The sequence below is a fragment of the Homo sapiens genome, chromosome 8 (assembly GCF_000001405.40).
Source record: "Homo sapiens chromosome 8, GRCh38.p14 Primary Assembly".
Classification (NCBI taxonomy): domain Eukaryota; kingdom Metazoa; phylum Chordata; class Mammalia; order Primates; family Hominidae; genus Homo; species Homo sapiens.
In genome coordinates this window covers 138,062,845-138,084,145 of record NC_000008.11, presented here as the reverse complement: position 1 = coordinate 138,084,145, position 21,301 = coordinate 138,062,845, and the positions used below count along the sequence as shown (strand labels likewise).

Below are 21,301 nucleotides of genomic sequence, written 5' to 3'. Positions count from 1 at the left end.
GCGCCTCTCCATCCACACCTCCCTGCAAGCTGAGGGAGCGGGCTCCGGCCTTGGCCAGCCCAGAAAGGGGCTTCTACAGTGCAGCGGTGGGCTGAAGGGCTCCTCAAGTGCCGCCAAAGTGGAAGCCCAGGCAGAGGAGGCGCCGAGAGCGACCGACGGCTTTGAGGACTGCCAGCACGCTGTCACCTCTCAGTGATACCTAACTATAAGAGGAAATGGTTTTCAGTGAAGAGCCAGAATTATCTCACATATTAAGTGGGCTTTAACTACTGCCGATGTATTATCCCACTTTCTCCTCCAACAGCCCTGCAAAAAATGTTATCATGCAAATGGGGACTAAGTTTCAGAACTCAGATGAGCCAAATGGTTACTTGTCTTGAGAGATAAATATGCCCTTGGAACTGAAGACGGAAAAATTTTCAGAATCCTGGAAGCCCTGGGGAAGGAGTGTGAAGAATAAAACCAGGCAGGCCTTGCTTGAGAGTACATTTCTTTTTTTTTTTTTGAGATGGAGTCTCGCTTTGTCGCCCAGGCTGGAGTGCAGTGGCGCGATCTCGGCTCACTGCAAGCTCGAGAGTACATTTCTTGAAACAGGGCTACAATTCTTTCTGCCTGGTATCATTAAAAAGGAGGTGACAATTTGGCCTAAGAAAATTCACGGAATCCATTTTGAAAGAAAATTATGAGTGGAAAACACCTGAGTTGAAAAGTGGGGAAGTTTCTCAATCTGCTTACTCCAAGGAAATTCTTAAAGGAATTATAAACACTTAACCTAATAAGTTAATTTTTAATTGTAAAATAGACCATCTTCAATTTTTTGAAGAGCCCTCGTGTGGAGGAATGCGATCTCATGGAAACAGTGGCCTAAAGAAAGTTCTCCTATTGCTTTTTACTTCCCTTTGCTTGAAAAAAGATAAACAGCATAGAAACCTCCAAGAGGCTACCGAGTTCTCTTTGAACTTTTTTCTCTGCAGCTGCGCCTGGAACTGCTCCCTGCTGCACTTTACTACCTCTGTTTATAAGAGCAACAGTCCCTCTCCTGAAAATTGGACTGAATTCCAACAAGTCGGCAACTTGCATGAAGACAAGGTACAGTGCCTCTCAGTCATATTTTCAGGCCCCAGAAGTCCTATTTTTTTCTGTGATATTCATAATGTTGTACCTGAGCGAGTTAGAGAAAATGCCACACTTTGAGACGAATTAAGAGTCCGTTTATTTAGCCGGCGGCCAAGAGACGGCTAACGCTCAAAGTTCTCTCGGCCCCGAAGAAGGGGCTAGATTTTCTTTTATACTTTAGTTTAGAGAAGGGAAGGGGGGTCTAGTTAAAACAATTTTACAGAAATAAAGTAGGCAAAAAAGTTAAAAGGATAAACGGTTACAGGAAAGTAAACAGTTCCAGGTGCAGGGGCTTTAAGACTATTACAAGGTGATAGACGCGGGGCTTTGGGTGTTATCAATTGGACGAATTCCTGGGAATTACGGATATTGCTGGCCACAGTATCTCATCAGTTAACTGCATTCTTGGATGTGCTGGGAGTCAGCTTGCACAAATTAAGTCCTTGAGGAAGGGGCTGCCAGTGAAAGAGGCAAGATGGAGTCTGTCTGGCTCTCTTAGCCAAGGGAGAGTCAGTTCAGGTGGAAACAAGGCTAGGTGATTAAAGGAAAAGGGAGAGTCTAAAAACAGGGTTAGTAAAAACAAGGGTGGGCATTACATTAACATCATAGCTTTTCCTACTTTTTTTTTTTTTTTGAGACAGAGTCTCACTCTTGTCACGCAGGCTGGAGTGCAATGGCATGATCTTGGCTCACTGCAACCTCCCCGTCTCCCGGGTTCAAGCCATTCTTCTGCCTCAGCCTCAAGAGTAGCTGGGATTACAAGCGCCCACTACCACACCTAACTAATTTTTGTAGCTTTAGTAGAGCTAAAAACATGGGATTTCACTATGTTGGCCAGGCTGGTCTCAAACTCCTGAGCTCAGGTGATCCGCCTGCCTTGGCCTCCCAAAGTGCTGGTATTACAGGTGTGAGCCACAGTGCTTGGCCCCTACTTTTATACTGATTTTTATACAAGCATTTTCTAGGACATATGGAAAGTTACTTGTGTAGTTTTATTTCTACTAAGACCCTGCACTTACCTGATGTCAATAACCACATCTTCTCTTTGACCTGAAAACTTGCCTGGCATCAACCTCATGACTCATTTTTCACAAAAACTTCCAGTAAACTTTCACTTACTGGCCATGTTGGTAACCCTTATCCATGTCCACAAGTAGCAGAGTTGAGGTTTGAGTCCAGGTATAAGTAACTCGAAGGCCTATTTTTTTCCTTCCATTTATACTATCCTACCTCTTTAAGTTTTGCCATTATATAAAATATTTTATTTTTTCATGGAGTCAATAAAATCTGATTTTGATCATTGGTTTAACCATAAGCTCCAGTCAGTGTTCTCAGTTGCAACTAGCAGAACTCCCTTCAGATGATTAAGCAGAAAGAAATTGTATTAAATGCAAGGATACCTCTAAACACTGACAGGGCTGCACAGCAGGCTCTGAGCTTCCTGGAATGACTTCCAAAGTCACAAGGCAGAATGAACTATCCAGGGAGTTTCTGCTTTTACCAAGGTCAGGAAACTGTGAATTAAAAAGCCCAACCCTATTAGCAAGATTCAGGATTATGCTGCTTTTGTTACAATCCTCGCAGGTCGAATGGGTGCCTTTTATACCCTACCACTCTCCCCAGGGGTAAATTCCAAACAAAACTTCCCGTAAGTGTTAATGTCTCTAACCAGCACCTCCGGGAAATGTAGTTTTTAGCTTTCTTTCCTTTGTAAACCAGGTGAGCCATGGGATGGGCATTAAGTGAGCCAATTCACTGAGCTTCTGTATTCAGATGAACAAATCTACTTTTGACAAATCTGTTGGCCTCTCTTCACCTTTGTCTTTTTGTGTAAAGATAGATGTTATTTCGGTACTGCCTGACTCTCAGGGATGTTTGTCAGAATGGGATGCTGAATGTTAATGCACTTTAGAAACAGAAACAAATATCTTCAAGATGTTGTAATTAATATAGACATTAGAGAATGTGTGAGCAAAACTTGGAGGTCATTTTCTACCTAAATGGACAATTGTATGTGGCCTTAAGAGTGTTAATAGGAAGGAGGCAGCCTAACATTTATCCAGTACATGCCATGTGCTAGAAACATTTACAGATGACTTTATAGTGTCCCTCATATTCATGAATCATAATGATGCTGGAGATTAGAAGCCAACTCTTTCCTCACGAAGATGATTTGGTTTTGTTGAATGCCATAGCAGGATGAGGTGATCACAAGACAGACATCATTGCTCTTCAAAAGAATGGAGTATTCTATTTATTAAAAGTATCTGGAATTCTATTGTGTGTGAGTCTGTGCAGGAACACAATGAGTCTCAAAGTGAAAAAAACTTTGGATTCCTGGTTCCTACAGCACTTTTGTTCAGATACTCTCTGTTATTTTGCTACGTGAAAAGGGAGCTTGAATTTCATGTGAAGTATAAAAACCAAGGAGAGGAATCCTGCTTGGGGCCATCAAGTATTATAGCATTGTGGTCATGAATGATTAAATAGATAGGAGAAGTATAATTCTCAATAAACACCAAATGAATTGTTTAGATGAAACTCAAAGTTTGCCAATTGAATTTTTTGAAAGGCACATAATTCTTTATTTGGTTTTATTTCTTCTCCATCCCAAAAGAATATTGAACGATGGAACTTGGGCAGCACAAATGCCTTGGATTCTTAGTCCTCAGTGTTACTTTGTTTTGTTTTAATTGGCTCTTTTAAAGGGACTGTGTGGTCAAGAGGCAAACACAGAGCAAACAGAGGGAGGGAGAAGGGGGCAGTCTGCACCGGCCTGGGTTTTGATCTCCCATCTATTACTTATTAGACTGAGATTTCTGGCAATTTTATTGAACTTTTGGATACACGGTTTCTTCATCTTTAAAATATGGATAATTATTGCAATTTCAGGAGCTTAGCGACTATTGCATTAAATCATAAATGTAGAGTATTTATCTTGACAAATAGTAAGTGCTAATAAATGGTCATCCTCGTACACTCATTTCTTTTCCTAAATCCAGAGTTTCTAAAATCCAAGAGTCCCTTAAATTCAGAATATCATCTCTAAAGAATATGGCTGATAGTAATACATTTAGTATCATATATATTTGTGATTAATGGGACAGAAATTACCCCCATTCATTGCCAGGGTGGGTGAAGGGCAATATCAGTTGAGGTGCCCAGTCATGACCAGAGGAGTAGGCACAATCTCTGGTCATGTTTAGCAAGAAAATCCCACACAAGTAACCCATTACCTAACCGATAATAGGAATGTAGAATTCTTTTGATGGGAGATCCATGAAGGGTGAGATTGTTCCCTTAAGGCAGAAAAAATCTGTACAGTCTCCTTGTAAGTGGGAGGGCCCATGTTACAAAAACAGAATTCCAGGGGCGAGAAAAAGGGTAAGCAAGAGAAGAAATTGAAGAATGAGTTCTAGAAGGAGATGTTTATTAGACAGATTACCAATTACCCAGACAGAGATTTGCACAAAAAACAAGAGACTGTAAAGACCCTAACTGGGGTTGAGGTAGAGTCTCTGCCATAGAGAGTTCACTTATTAAAGCTGGAGTACAAATTCAGGACGGGGTAGCCAAGGGGCCCTGAGACTGGGTCCTACAGGAACTAATGAGAGATCTTCTGGTATAAGTTGGGTGGAATGAGCAGGGTTTGGGTTACAAGCTGGCTACTTGGCCTGATGCAAGGAGCTTCTGTTACTTCAATAAAAATCTAAAAAGTCTACTCCAACCTCTTTTTGTAGAACATATAGCGTATACCTCATTGGCCTTAAAACTTATATTTGAATTCAAGATATCTAGTGTTGAGTTTTGATCCCTCTGTTTCTTAAGCTAGTCATTCAACTTGTGAAACACTGGTTCACCCTAACTACTCGGTTGTAAGCATCCAATGTGGTAGTAGGTATGAAGAAATAGAGCAGTGGTTATTTTTTGTCCTAATCTGGTACTACCTAATATGGTAGCAACATGTGTTTATGGAACCCTTAAAATATGTTGAAATTGAGATATTCTGTAAGTGTAAAACACACACTGAATTTCAGAGACATAGTGTGAAAAAATGTACTATCCTGCGAATAATGTTTATATTGATCACATGTTAAAAATCACATTTTAGACATATTAAGTTAAACATAATCCACCATAATATCTGTGGAAATGAAAAGGAAAAGTTAAATAGAATATATTGTTGAAATTAATTTTACTTGTTCATTTTTACTTTTAAAAATGTGTCTATCAGAAAGTTTAAAATTACGTATGTGGCTCACCTTACTCTCCTTTGGAGAGTGCTACTCTACACAGTCTTTCTCCTTCTTCTCTTTCTTCTCCTACACAGTTGTCTCCTTCAGGCAACAGCTCTAATTTTTATTTGTGGAGTGGCTCTAGTCCTAATGGTAGAATATATGAGTAAGCGCAGCACATTACACTGGCGATTGCTTCAGGAGTGAGCCTTGATTCAATCTCATCCATCAGACAGGATGTGATGACAATGGCAACATAGTCTAACCTGTACAACTTCTACTTGACAATGCAGAGTCTACCATGCTAGGGACTATGAGGCAGAGCCTGAGAATGAAGCCAATCAGAGGAAGCAGATCCAAAAGCTGCCTCAGATTAACACTCAAATGGTCTCTGCAGTCAAATTCATCACTTGGGTTTTCCAGTTCCATGAGCCAACACACCTTCTTGCTTATGTCACATCAGACTTCTTTTTTTCTACTTCCAATACAAAGAATTCTAATTATTTCCAAGGACCTTTCAATGGTAAGGAAGGTCCTGCATATACACGGCCTGCCTGTGCTGATCATTTCTTCTGGAAAAGATGAAGCTTAGGAATGTGTAGTGACTTGTCCAAAGCCACAAGGTAAAAAAAGCTCAGGTTCTGAACTAGCAAAGGATCCTCCTTACTCCCAGACAATGCAAATCCCACTGCCACTCTGGCATAAGAGTGAGAATAAGTGACGCACAACAGTCCAATATCTGATGTTCAAACACTGGGTCTGGCTCACACTCCCTTTGTCTCTCCTGCCCTGTCTAGCCTTGTAGTGGGTACACCAACCCTGATTCTAAGCCAGTTTTTCCTTGTCAGGAATCAAGGCTCAGGGTACATTAAACACTTTGGGCTATCAGCCAGGGAGTCTTGAAATATTCCTATTGCATTAAACTCCAAATCAATTGTATGCTGAATGAGCCCTGAGTACCTGCTTAACCATGGTGTGCGTCTTTCTCTTGAACCTTGAATCCTGGGCTAAGGGTAGAGGTTTTCCTTACCTTAGTCACTGGAATCACCATTTTGCACTCACTCTAGGAGGGGTGAGTGGGGCATGGGAAGAGGGGATGTTTTACTAAGTAGGCCCTCTACATGGAATCATAAGCTGGAACAAAGGTTTCCCCCCTAACAAGAAGGACCATAGAGAAAGATATAACCAAGCTGTACACGAGTTGATTTTCTTTTTTCATAACCTGCACATCTACTAGTCTAGCTGGTGCCTCAACACCAAGTTCACAATCATCTTAGCTTGTGGTGGCCTTTTCTAAATACTCCTCTAGAACAATTACTTTCTTCAATACTTTTCTGTACCTCTGAATTGTCTCAATCTCTGAATGAGGATATCATGGAGATGCCCAGAAAAGTCCAGACCTGACATTTGTGTGAGCCCACTTAGCACGTTAGACACGGGGAAACGTGTGTATTGGTAAGAAGCTCACCATCTCATCAACAGGAGGGAAAAGCCAGTTGAAGGACTAGATGCTGCTGGTACATTTCTGAAAAATAAAAACATGTGAAATATGAAAGAAGTTCTATGATTTTCTACTTTCTAAATTATAATGAAAAATCTTGCATAATGACCATCTTGGAGCCTGCTGAACCTGAGGTGGGAGCTCTGAATGCTGGAGAACATCTGTTTCCAAACACCAGCCTGCCTTTTCCTTCTCAACAGGTGTCTGAGAAAAGCCTGGAATGTGCTGCCCTCAGATCCATACGGGGAGAGTGGAGGAGGGGGCAGCCTTTGCATTTTCTTTCGTAGAACTTCTCTAGTATCTCACTGTGGCTATTACTTTTTCACACTTGGGGTGAATGTATGTGCAGCACAGAATGCTGTTGACCCTTTTCAAGATTAGCATGAATAAGTCCCTTGTTAGATAGATGAACTTTGTTTCTTTATTATTTATACATTATTATATGTTTTAGGTGTTGCATAGTAAAATTTTAATGGGTAAATAGAGAAAAAAGTAAATAATGTGTTCTCAGCTTTTTAAAAAAAGTTTTGGATGCTATCAGAGGAAAAAACAAAAGTTGTTTATTGTGAATACTATAGACTGAATTCATTGATGTTCATTCCAAACTCCCTGTATGTATTCTTGTCTCACAGGGGTCAGAAACTTAAGTTATTTGCTAGGTTTTCTCAACTGTACTTGCTACTAGGTTTCTAGATGTGATTTAGAGCATTCCAATTACGCATTTCTTTGAATTCAGAACTAGGATAAGGTGAAAGGCATCTATTTATTTGATGCTGATTGTGGCCTGATTGTGGAACTGGTGGTTTGCAGGTGGCTTCCCCGATTGGCAGGCAATGTTCTGATACTAAAGCCTCCTCATCCCCAAGGAGCAGCAGCACCTGGCGAGCTAGTTTTGCACTGAGCTTTGGGGCCCCTTCCTGGAAGCTCGCTTTAGTAGTCTGTTTCTTCAGCCATTCCAACAATTCAGTGATCTGCTTAGTACTCTAATAAGTCCCTTCAACTAGCAGGAGACAATTCCATTCTCTGAAAATTAACCTTAATTGAAATATTATTCAATGAATATGCTTAAAAATAGGAAAAAAAAAAAGAATTTAAAACAAAATGTAATATTCCAAGTAGGAGAAGACTGACATTATCAACATCACAGCTTCTGTCCAGACATCATCATCTTCTCAGTGCTGCCGAAACCCTCCCTTCACTTGGAGTGTGTGCAGTCACAAAACTCTGTTGACTCCTACTAAAATTTGTATAAATGAAGTCCTCAAACTTTCTAAAAAGTGTATTATGTCCCTGCTGTTTTTCCTCTAAGAGATTCTTGGGCTTCTGTTCATCTCTTGGAGCAAATGTCTCCTCATCCGCTTTAAATTAGGCCAGGCAGAAAGTGGAAAAAAGGCTGTCTGGACTATTTAGCAGATCAAGGAAATAAAGTTTATGTTTTGTCTTTAGAAAGGAAGGGAAAAGGCAAGGTGAGTATTATAAAGTCACGAGGAAGGCAGAGCGTGGTGGCTCACGCCTGTAATCCCAGCACTCTGGGAGGCTGAGGCGGGCAGATCACCTGAGATCAGGAGTTTGAGACCAGCCTGGCCAACATGGCAAAACCCGTCTTTACTAAAAATACAAAAAAATTAGCTGCTGTGGTGGCATGCGCTTGTAATTCCAGCTACTCAGGAGGCTGATGCAGGAGAATTGCTTGAACCTGGGAGGCAGAGGTTGCAGTGAGCTGAGATGGCGCCACTGCACTTCAGCCTGGGCGACAGAGTGAGACTCTGTCTCAAAAAATAAATAAATAAAGTCATGGGGGTGATGGGAGGCTCTCCATATGACTGTGGGACCTGTGGATGAGGCTCCACATGGTTCCCAAGTGGCATGGTGAAAGCTTCTCGAGGGAGAGGCTGTCAACCAGCCTTTCTTATAAGCAATTCATTGTGCTCAGATGCTTAGAAAGAAAACAGCTTTTAAAAGCAGACACCATGTTAAAAATCACATGGGTAGTCTATGGGCAAGAAACCACAACACAAAGAATGTTTGACTCCTTTCTTTAAAGACTCATGAGAGAAGCAGAGAGTCTGGATTCAAGTTCTAAGTTCTTTGTTCTATTTTTTAAAAAATACATATGCAGATCAAAATCCCGGGCATAGATAGAGACTTACTCCAAAGCCTATTGGTCATCATTCTGATAGCCCCTAGCACACAATTCTCTAATTCTGTATCTATGCAGCTCTCTCTCCCACTGAAGGGCTTCTTCAGGCAGGGGCTATGTCACAGTGGCAGAAGCATGCATTTCAAAACTGGGCCGAAGCAAATTAACATCCAGGCTTAGCCAGTTTTAAACACTACTTTGTCCACAGTTTTAAATTCTCACCATGGCTGCTTCATTAATAAAAATGGGTAAAATCATGTCTCATAACTCAATCCAGAATGAGATAACGTGTGCAAGACACTTAACAGAATGTCTGGTTCTTGGAGAGCAATCAAAACCACCAGCTAGTATGTGCTATTTTTATTTCCAGGACTGAGTCCTAGAGCATCCAGTAAATAATAATAAATAACAAATGCTAATCAAATTTAAGTGCATACATGAAGGAACTTTGAGTCAGAAGTGAGTTCAGTTCAGTGGCTTACCCTGTAGTAGTTAACGGACTTGGACAAACCTATCTCGCTGTACCACTGGAGTCCTTATTTATTAAAGTCATAATAACAGCTTATTTCTCACAGAGATACTATGATAGCAAATATGAATGTGTAGTTGAAAGTTCTTTGTAAATCTCTATAAGTGAAGGCTATAAATATCAGTTAAGAATTACTCTTTGTCTCTGCCAGCATTCTCACTTGCTGGTTTTCAAACCTAGAAGAACACCTTTCAACTGCCTTCTGAATATATATGCAGGAATTCAAGATAGAATATTCTAACATTTGGTTAAACCCCTAAAGGGGTAATTCTTAAAATAAGGGATCTTCTATAAAGACTTTTCCCTTTGATTACTAAATGTTTCTTACAAAGTCATTATTGTTTTGAAAAATGCATGCCATTTCTATAGCACAAATGTAGGACGTCAAATGGGAGCTTCATGGACCAGCTACTATGTGCAGTGGTAGAAATAGAACAGAGAAGTTGAGATTTTAAAAGCTTGAAAGGGGAAAAGAAGACAGTGTGTGAACTGTTCAATGCTGTGAGGAAAGCAATGTGTTCTCTCTCTTTTAGTCTTCGTGCTCACGCTCACATTTGATCTCTTTAATGTAGTCTCACAAAGACGTTTGCAGTTACACGTTAGAAATTAGCATCATTCTTTTTTGAGAAAGGAGAGAATGTGAGAGACTTCTCATGCTCTTTATAAAAATTTTTCAATACTTTCTCTGGGTGGTCCAAAAACCGTGTTTGAAATGTGTGAGCAAGTAGTATTCTTGGCATGGCTGGTATGAGATTTGCATTTCCTCCAAAGGCACCTTTTTGTACCAGGACCTAGACTTTCCCGACCTCTCCTTTCTCAGAAACTGAAGAAAGCAAGATTCTTTAAGGCCAGGATTCTGATAAGGAGCCCCATTCAGTCCAGGATGATATTTAATTCTCTTGTAGTCCCTATAATACATTTCTACATTTGTTAAAGATTTATTTTTTATTTCAATAGGTTTTTAGGGAGCAGGTGGTGTTTGGGTACATGAATATGTTCTTTAGTGGTGATTTCTGAGATAAAACCGCCTTCCATCCAGTCATTCAAAAGGCAGGATCTGGGTGGTAGAAAATTATTCATCTCAGGCTTAAAAATCATTTGAGACCCAACCCAGCCTAAGCTCCCTTCAGGCTCCAAAGGTTTTCTTGGCTATACCTGTACAAGGAAACTGGAAGGGTTATCTATTTTGATTATTCTCTGTCGTTGTAGGGAGAGGCAGGGCAATTTATCCAAGAACACACAAAGCCGGATTGTTTAATCAAATTAAAAGGGAGTAAGCACACTAGAGCTTGAGTCTCAATGAAAGCAACAGCAATGGTTTCTTATACTCCAAAAATATTTTGAAGCATACAAAATGGATTCATATAGTTTTTTCTTTTTTTATCGATTGTTCTATTTTTATTTTATAATTTCAGCTTTTATTTTAGATTCAGGGAGTACATGCACAGGTTTGCTACATGGGTATATTTCGTGATGCAGAGGTTTGAGATACAAATGATCCCATTACCCAGGTGGTGAGTGTAGTGCCCAACAATTAGTTTTTCAACCCTTGCCCCCCTCACTCCCTCCCCTCTCTAGTAGTCCCCAGGGTGTACTTTTGCCATCTTTATGTCCTTGAGTACTCAATGCTTAGCTCCCACTTATAAGTGAGAACATGCCTTTCTTGGTTTTCCGTTCCTTCGTTAATTCACTTAAGATAATGGCCTCCAGCTGCATCCATGTTGCTGCAAAAAAACATGATTTTATTCTTTTTTTATGGGTAGGTGGTATTGCATGGTGTATATGTGCTACATTTTCTTTATCCAATCCACCATTCATAGGCACCTAGGTTTGTTCTATGGCTTTGCTATTGTTAATAGTGCTGTGATGAACACACAAGTGCATGTGTCTTTTTGATAGAATGATTCATTTTATCTTGGATATGTACCCAGTAATGAGATTGCTAAGTTTAATGGTAGTTCTCTTTTCAATTCTTTGAGAAATCTCCAAACTGCTTTCCACAGTGGCTGAACTAATTTACATTCCTATCAACAGGATAAGCATTCCCATTTTTTCTGCAGCCTCACCAGTGTCTGTTGTTTTCTGACTTTTTAGTAATAGCCATTCTGAGTGGTGTGAGATGGTTTCTTATTGGGGTTTTGATTTGCATTTATTTGATGCTAGCAATGTTGAACCTTTTTTCATTTGTGTGTTGGCTGCTTATATGTCTTCTATTGAGAAGAGTCTGTCCATGTCTTTTGCTAATTTTTGAATGGGGTCATTTTTTGCATCTTCAATTATTTACATTCCTTATAGAATGTGGATATTAGACTTTTGTCAGATTTATAGTTTGCAAATATTTTCTGCCATTCTGTAGGTTGTTTATTTTGTGGATAGTTTCATTTGCTGTGCTCTTTAGTTTAATTAGGTTCCATTTCATATACATTTTCGAATAGGAGTTTCAGAACAGGTTGGTTTAGGAAATTTCCATTTTTTCATTAAATTTTTTATCAATGTGGACTCCTATGTAGTTTTAAGAAATAATGCAAAGATACCCTATCTACCCTTTATTCGGCTTCCGTCAATGGTAACATCTTGTAAAACTATAGTGCCATATCATAGCCATGATTCAGCTCCCTCCAGTGGTAACATCTTTTAAAACAAAAGTACACCGTCATAGCCATGACGCTGATACAGTCCATTAATCTTATTCAGATATCACCCATTTTACTTGTACTATTTATTTATAGGTCTATGTGTGTGCATGTGTGTGTGTAGTACCATAGAGTTGTGCCACCTGTGTAGGAGCATGTATTCACCACCACAGTAAAAATACAGAACTGCTCAGTTATCACAAGAATTCTTCGTTTTCCCTTGATGACCACACCTGTTTTCCTCTACCCACCTGTTCACTCATCCCTAAATCCTGGCCACCACTAATATTTTCATTTATGTAAAAAATTACATAAACAAAATCATTCAGTTTGGGATGTATTGATTTTTTTTCACTAAACGTAAATTCCTGAAGTTTTATCCAAGTTTTTGCATGTATCAATAGTTGTTTTTTTTTTTATAGAGAGAACTAGAATTTCAAGGTATGTATGTACCATGGTTTGTTTAATCATTCACCCGCTGAAGGACACGGGCTGTTTCTTGGTTTTGATTATTAATAATAAAGCAGCTATGAGCAATCATGTCTAGGTTTCTGTGTGAACATATGCTTTCGTTTTCTAGAAGAGCACAGTTGATTGAGTGGGATGGAAATTGTGTTTTGTTCTATAGAAAATTGCCAAGCTGTATTCTAGCCATTTTGCATTTTCATCAGCAAGGCATGAGTGATTCAGTTTCTCTGCATCCTTGCCAGCATTTGGTATTTTTACTTAAAACAATAATTTTAGCCATTCAGATAGGTCTGTAGTGATAGCTCATCATGATTTTAATTTGTATTTCTCTCGTAGCTAATGGTGTTGAAATTCTTTATATGCACTTATTTGCCCTCTGTTTATCCTCTCAGGAAAATGCCTGTTATTGTCCTTTGCCCATTTTCTAATTGGAATGTTTGTTTATTCATTTTATTTTATTTTTTTTTAAGTTTTGAGATCTCTTTTCCGCATTGTAGATACTAGTCTTTAGTTGGAAAAATGGTTTGCAAGTAATTACCCCCAGTTTTCAGGGGTTTTTTTTTACCCTCATTTTGATGAGGTGTAATTTATCAATTTTTCCTTTTGTGGGTCAAGCTTATAGTATCAAGTCTAAGAACTGTTTGCCTAGCCTAAGAACCTAAAAATTCTCTTCTATGATTTATTATATATTTATATGATATAATATTTATTATATTTTATATAGCATAATATTTACTATATTTCTATGTCTCACTTTGGAGAACATGATTGGTTTTAAGTTAGTGCTTGTGTGAGGTGAGAGGTTTAAGGTCAGGGTTCACTTTCTTGCTTGGATTGAATGGATGATCAACTGCCCCAGATCTATTGGTTAAACATTTCTTATTGACTTGCTTTTGCACCTTTGTAAAAAAACCTGTTGAGTTTATTTATTTGGGTCTATTTCTGGGTTCTCTATTCTGTTCCATTAGGCTATCCATCCATGCCTCTACCAACACTCCGCTGTCTCAATTACTGCATGTAAATAGTAAACCTTAGTATCAGATAAGTGATTACTCCTACATTCTTTGTCAGACTGTTCTAGCTATTTTAGGGCTCACTCCTTTCCACACAAGTTTTATATTAAGCTTTTTAGGTCTGTAATAAAATCTTGCTGAGGTTTTGATAAGAATTGCATTAAATTTATACATCAATTTTTAAATAATCTTTACTAGTTTAACACTTCCACTTCATGAATTTCTATTTACTCTCCTAATCTATATTTGATATATAGCTCCCTATTTACTTAGATCTTTTAAAAAAGTCTTTAATCAACAATTTGTAATTTTCAACATACATACTTTTTTGTTAAGTGTATACCTAAGTATTTTATTTTCTTTGGAGAAATTGTAAATGTTATTTTATCTTTTAACATAGAAACATCAGTCTCTATGTTTGTATTATTCATATATAGACATAAAATTGATTTTTATGCATTGATCTTGAATCCTGCAACCTTGTTGAACCCATCTGCAAATTGGAACATTTTTTTTTATTTTTGCCTTTTCAATCTGCCTTTTCTTATTTATTTCTCTTTTCTTATTTTGTTGACTGGAATTCCCAGTAATATATTGAATAAAAGTTATATATTTATTCATTTTACTGTTTTAAAGTTTTGAGATCTTTTTTCTACATTGTAGATACCGGTCACTTGGTGAAAAAGTGGCTTGCAAATATTTACCCCAATTTTCATTTTTTTACCTCATTTTGATGAGGTATAATTTATCAATTTTTCTTTTCATGGATGAAGATTGTAGTGAGTCGTAGAACTGTTTGCATCCCTCCGTCTCCTCCATCTTCTGTCCTTTCATGTCCTCTTCCTTTGTAACTTACTCCTCCTGCGCCCTTGTCTCATCTCGTGTACTTTTATTTTACCATCACCGCCCACATTCCCTCCAAAACTTCTCCCGTCTTCCTCCTCTGTTTCCCTTGTTCTCCCACCCTTTCTTGCTTCCCCGTTGTAGTTTTTAAAAATTTACATTTTAAAATAGCTAGAAGAGAATCACTTGAATGTTCCTAGCATAAAGAAAAGATAAATATTGAAGTTGATGGATATCCAAATTACCCAGATTTGATCTTTACACATTATATGAAGGTATCAAAATATCACATGTATCCTGAAAGTGTGTACGTCTATTATGCAGCAATGAAAATAGTGATAAAGAAATTTTAAAATATTTGCTTATTTATTGTAAATAAAAACTGTATCCATTTAAGGCGTACAAGCTGATGTTTTGTTATAGGTATACACAGCAAAACAATTACTACAGGCTGGCCCGGGTGCGGTGGCTCACGCCTGTAATCCCAGCACTTTGGGAGGCCGAGACGGGTGGATCACGAGGTCAGGAGATTGACAACATTCTGGCTAACAAGGTGAAACCCCCGTCTCTACTAAAAAATACAAAAAATTAGCCGGGCTTGGTGGCGGGCACCTGTAGACCCAGCTACTCGGGAGGCTGAGGCAGGAGAATGGCGTGAACACGGGAGGCGGAGCTTGCAGTGAGCCGAGATTGCACCACTGCCCTCCAGCCTGGGCGACAGACAAAAATAAATAAATAAATAAAGTAAAAAAAAAAAAAAAACAAAAAAAAACAATTACTACAGGCAAGTTAATTGACATATTCATCTCCTCACAAAGCTACCATGTTTGTGCATGTTTGGGTGTGTTGAGAGCTCCTGAAATCTACACTTTCAGGGCGTTTCCAATATACAATATAGCACAGTCCTGTGCTGCATCATATTTTGGGCAATGATGGGCTGTGTATATGACTCTGGTCCCATAAGATTGTCATGGAGCTAAAAATTCCCATCAGCTAGTGACATCATAGCCATCTTAAGTTGTAGCATGACACATTACTCATATGTTTGTGGTGATGCTGGTATAACCAAACCTGGTGCAGCAGGTTTGTTTTATAAAAGTATAAAAGTCTTATAAAAGTATAGCCCATACAAGTGTGTACAGTACGTAATACTTGATAATGACAATAAACAACTATGTTGCTAGTTTGTGTGTTTATTATACTTGTCATTATTTTAGAGTATACTCTTTCTACTTCTTAAAGAGAAAAAGGTAACTGTAAAACAGCCACAGATGGGTCCTTCAGGAAGTATCCAGAGGAGGACATTGTTATCTAACAGATGACAGCTCCATGCATGCTATTGCCCCTGAGGAACTTCCAATGGGACAAGATGTGAAGGCGGAGAACAGTGATGTGGATGGTTCTGAGACTGTGGGCCTAGGTTAGTGTGTGTTTGTGTCTTAGTTTTTAACAAAAGAGTTTAAAAAGTAAAAAAAAAAAACAAAAAAAAAAAACTTGAAGAAATGAAAACGAAAGAAAGCATACAGAATGAGGAAATCAACAAAATATTTTTGTACAGCTGTACAATGTTTGCGTTGTCAGCTAAATGCTGCTACAAAAGAGTAAAAAAATTTAAAACAAATTTATAAAGAAAAAAATTACAGTAAGCTAAGGTTAATTTAGTATGCAAAATGAAAACTGTTTGTTAATACATTGAGTGTAGCCTAAGTGTACCATGTTTCTGAAGTCTGCGGTGGTGCACAGTAATGTCCTAGGCCTGCACAATCACTCACCACTCACTCAGTGACTCACCCAGAGCAACTTCCAGTCCTGCAAGCTCCATTCATGGTTAACACCTTGTACAGGTACATCATTTTAAATCTTTTCTACCACATTTTTACTGTATGTTTTCTATGTTTAGAGACATAAATGCATACTATTTTGGTATAATTGCCTACAGTATTCATTCAGTATAGTGACATGCTGTATAGGTTTGTTGCTTAGATATATGGTAGGTTATACCATCCAGGTTTGTGTAAATTTACTCTATGTTTGCACAATGACAGAACTGTCTAAGGATGCATTTCTCAGAACATATCCCTGTCATTATGTAACATGTGACTATTATTAACTATAGTCATCATGCTCTACAACTGTATCTCTAGAACTTTCCATTATATGTAACTGCAACTTTGTGCCCTTCAATCAATATCTCTTCATTTCTCCCACCACCCTGGTAACCACCGTTCTACTTATAAGATATCACCTCACACCTGTTACAGTGGCTATTACCAAAAAAGTGAAAAATGACATGTGTTAGCGAGGAAGTGGAGAAAAGGGAACCCTTGTATATTGTTGGTGGGAATGTAAATCAATAGATTCATTATAGAAAATATTATGGAGATTCTCCCCAAAAAGTTAGAAATGGAACTACCATAGGATCCAGCAATCCCACTTCTGGGTATATAACCAAAGGAAATAAAATCAGTGCCTCAAAGAGGTATCTGTGCTTTCATGCTCGCATTATGCACAATCTTAGTGTCTGCAGTAGGTGAATAGATAAAGAAAAATGTGAGGTACACACACACCTAATGGAATATCATTTAGCCTTAAAAAGCTCTACTTTTGAGACAACTAAAATCCAAATATCTTCTTCTTCTTTTCTTTTTTTCTTCCTCCTTCCTCCTTTCTGCTTCCTTTCCTTTCCCTTCTGCTTCTGCTTCTCCAATCCTTCCACCCTCCAGCCTCTGATGCTGTCAAAGGCTTATTCTGACTATGCCCACAGTCTGAGAGAGGACAGAACGGTCAACGGTCAGCATGGACTTATTTCCAGATGACTTATCTCACAGTGAAAATACCCTGGTAATCTAAAGTATTTCTTAAGAAAGGAGGCTGCCAGGTGCGGTGGCTCATGCCTGTAATCTCAGCACTTTGGGAGGCTGAGGTGGGCAGATCACAAAATCAGGAGATCAAGATGATCCTGGCCAACATGGTGAAACCCCATCTCTACTAAAAATACTAAAATTAGCTGGGCATGGTGGTGCGCACCTGTAGTCCCAGCTACTCAGGAGGCTGAGGCAGGAGAATTGATTGAACCCGGGAGGCAGAGGTTGCAGTGAGCCAAGATTGCACCATTGTACTCCAGCCTGGGCAACAGAGCGAGACTCCATTTAAAAAAAAAAATATATATATATATATATATATATATATATATCAAGGAATATATATATATATATCAAGGAATATATATATATATATCAAGGAATATATATATATATATATATCAAGGAATATATATATATATCAAGGAATATATATATATCAAGGAATATATATCAAGGAATATATATATATCAAGGAATATATATATCAAGGAATATATATATATCAAGGAATATATATATCAAGGAATATATATATCAAGGACTATATATATATATCAAGGAATATATATATCAAGGAATATATATATCAAGGAATATATATATACACATACATATCAAGGAATATATATATATCAAGGAATATATATATATATCAAGGAATATATATATATGTGTGTGTGTATATATATATGTGTGTATATATATATATATCAAGGAAAAGAACATGGCAGGCATAGGTTAAAGCAGATACAAAAGTCCATGGGGGTAGACGAGTAGTTGGCATACATGAGTGAGAGAAAAGAAGAATAGCTGAGGTGGGGATGAGGGGCAGGTGGAAAGAAAGTGGGAGAGGTAGCCAAGAGCCATGTGATATTATTCCTTGAAGCCGATGGTAAGGATTTGTAATTTTCTTCCAAATACAAAAAGAAGCCAGTGGAAGATTTTGATCAGATAAGAAAGGTTACAGTCTGACTTACACTTTTAAAAGATCCACTCTAAGTCGCATAATAGAGAACCTCTAGAATTGGATCAAGACTAGAAGCAGGGGGACTATTTAGAAGTTATAATAATGCGAGTTAGAAATCATGGTGATTTGGACCAGTTTAGTTGGGGTGAGCAGAGATTGCGGATTTATTTAGAATGCCTGAAAAGGCAGAATCTGAGGATTATTTCTGTTTATATTTCAAAACAAGGTGAATCGAGGGTAAAACAAAGATTTTGGCCTCCACAACTGGAAAATGTTTCCAGTTAGGAAGAAGTCAACAAGAGGATCAAGAATCTGAGAAAAAAGAACCAAAAAGCACGTTTGCACATGTTAGGCTCGAGCTGTTTATTAAATATTCCATAGAGATATCAAGTTAGAAATAGATTCAAATGTAGGGAAGATATCATATATTTGAACTTATATGTAGTTTATTCAAAGCTCTAAGAAATTGTGCAGCCAAAAAACTTCTTTAACATTATTTAGCCCATAGTTTCCCAAAGCAATTTGACCTGGAGGCTTGTATTTCTTATGATGTATGTATATGTATTGCAAATCTAGTACCTCACAGAATATATTTTGAGATATGCTGACAGATAAATCATATAATGAAGACCTAATAATTATATGTCTTGAAAATTTACTGTTGAATTATTTAAAAAAAAGAAGAAAAGAAACTGCCCCAGTACATGCATAGAGTCCTGTAGAATCAGTGCTTATGCAATGTTTCTCCTCGTTGTATTCATGTTAAAATTAGTGAAAAGTCATTGTTGGAGAAAAAAATATGCTTAAATAGAATAGAGGCTGGATAACATTGAGTGTTTCTCCGCTACCTTATAAATATGTCAAAACTCTGAATGGCTGAAGCAATTTATTCTGAAAGTGGGAGTGGGGTAGCGAGGGAGCACTTGGCAGGCTGTTTTCAATCTCTCCTGCTGATGGGTAGGTTCATAAAGCATATGGGCATTGAGTTCAGCCGGATGTTTCAAATTATGAGCAGAAAGACATCAGTGTCTAATATGTTTTAGTGAGTTTGAAAACACTGCTTTTAATGCAACAGACTAGGATGTCATGGCACCAAAAGGAGTGGATTAAAATGAGAATAAAAGATATCAAAGCACTCCCAGCTGGGAAGGTTAAATATTGTTACCTATACAGTCATACATCACTTAACAATGAGAATATGCTCAGCAAAACGTGTCCTTAAGTGATTTTGTTGTAAGAACATTATAGTGTCAGTATACTTATGCAAACCTAGAGAGTATAACCTACTACACACCTAGGCTATATGATGTAGCCTACAGGCATCTACCGTGTCTGGAGCTGGCAGGACTTGGAATTGCTCTGGGTGTGAAGCAAGTGAATGCAAAGGCCTAGGACATGCTTGTACACTACTGTAGACTCTAGAAACACTGTACACTTAGGCCACACTAAATTTATAGTTTTGTTTCTTCCTTCAATAGTACATTAACCTTAGTTTATTGTAACTTCTTTATAAACTTATTCTCACGAAATCCAGGGTGGCTGCAGCAACAGAGGGAAGGAGAGTAAGGAGAGCCTGGAGCTACTGGCCCTGCTTATATGGGTAAGAGCATAGAGCATTCTCTACTCAGAGGGTCAGTGGCTGCAGAAGGGGCTGGGTTATGGAGGGGGAAGGCATGGAGGTTGAAGGACAGGCTGGGAGGAGAGATAATAGTGGCTTTGAGTAGATGATGATGACACAGATATGGAGAATGAATTTGACAACTTCTTGCCACCTTCACTCGGTTATCCTAGTCCCAGCCCCCATTGTCTCTCACCGGGATGGCTGAGTTTTCCTCTTAACTGGTCTCATTCCTCTGCTGTCCCTTACCCACACAGGATCTACTGGAATATTTCCCTTGAAAATTTTTACTAGCATAAAGCATGCATGCAGAGAAGTGTGCATACAATAAGCATACGGCTTGATAAACTTTTACAACTTGAGCACCCCCAGTAACCAGCTCCAGATGAAGAATCAGACCCTGTCCCACCATCCTCAGGCTTCCTCCTACTCCCCGCCAGACACAGCCCCTCTTAACATCAACCATTGCCTGACCTCTCACAGCACAGGAGAGTTTTGCCCACTTTTCTACTTTGTATAAATGGAATGCAGTGTGAGATCTTTAGTAGCTGGTTTTCCCCCCACTTCACGGTATTTGTGACATTCCTGCCCATTGACCTATGTGAAATCCTTTAGAAAACATTCATCCTACCATGTCACTCCCCTGCCCCAAACCCTACCCTGGCTTTTTATGACATTCAGATTAAAACTCTTACCTTTCTGCACAGACGCCCACCTGTTTTGGCTCCCACTCCACTCTGGTCTCACTCTGCTTCTTCTTGTACCCCCCTCCCTTGATGCTGTGTGTGGGACACGCCAAAATAGTCCCTACATCAAAAAGTTGTCATCTGAGATTGGCGGCACAATGCCCAGTTCAAAAATGTGACTTGTCCTAGGGCCGGGCGCGGTGGCTCACGCCTGTAATCCCAGCACTTTGGGAGGCCGAGGCAGGTGATCACCTGAGGTCGGGAGTTAGAAACCAGCCCGGCCAACATGGTGAAACCCCATCTCTACTAAAAAAAAAAATACAAAAATTAGCTAGCGTGGTGGCACGCACCTGTAGTCCCAGCTACTGGGGAGGCTGAGGCAGGAGAATCACTTGAATCCAGGAGACAGAGGTTGCAGTGAGCCGAGATCATGCCACTGCACTCCAGCTTGGGTGAAAGGATGAGACTCCATCTCAAAAATAAACAAACAAACAAAAAACCTGTGACTTGTCTTAGGTCACAGAACTCAGTAAATGTAGAGCCACTCTTCCACCCCTCTCTCCAGTGTCCAGCATTCTTTCATTCCCTGTGTAGTTTGAGATTCACCCTTCTGCAAAACATGCCACCCACTCCCCTTTGCTTGTCTCTCCATGAGATCTGGAGGCACAACCACCCTTTTCCCGACAGT

At 38.9% G+C, this 21,301-nt stretch overlaps 1 long non-coding RNA gene across 1 annotated transcript in view, besides 1 other annotated feature; it reads left to right on the top strand.

Moving 5' to 3' along the window:
- Positions 1 to 600: 600 nt before the first annotated feature.
- The window catches only part of LOC401478 (uncharacterized), a 273,872-nt gene continuing 253,171 nt past the window's right edge, over positions 601 to 21,301 (top strand). Inside the window, exon 1 of the long non-coding RNA NR_161374.1 lies at positions 601 to 1,089. This is a non-coding gene — a long non-coding RNA (uncharacterized LOC401478). The remainder of the gene's footprint in view (positions 1,090 to 21,301) is intronic.
- Positions 2,389 to 3,036: an enhancer, noted in NCBI's record as "OCT4-NANOG hESC enhancer chr8:139093353-139094000 (GRCh37/hg19 assembly coordinates)". NCBI's record gives its function as "activates a minimal SCP1, AML or CMV promoter by ChIP-STARR-seq in primed H9 embryonic stem cells {active_cell/tissue: H9 hESC(primed)}" and the evidence as "EXISTENCE:reporter gene assay evidence [ECO:0000049][PMID:30033119]".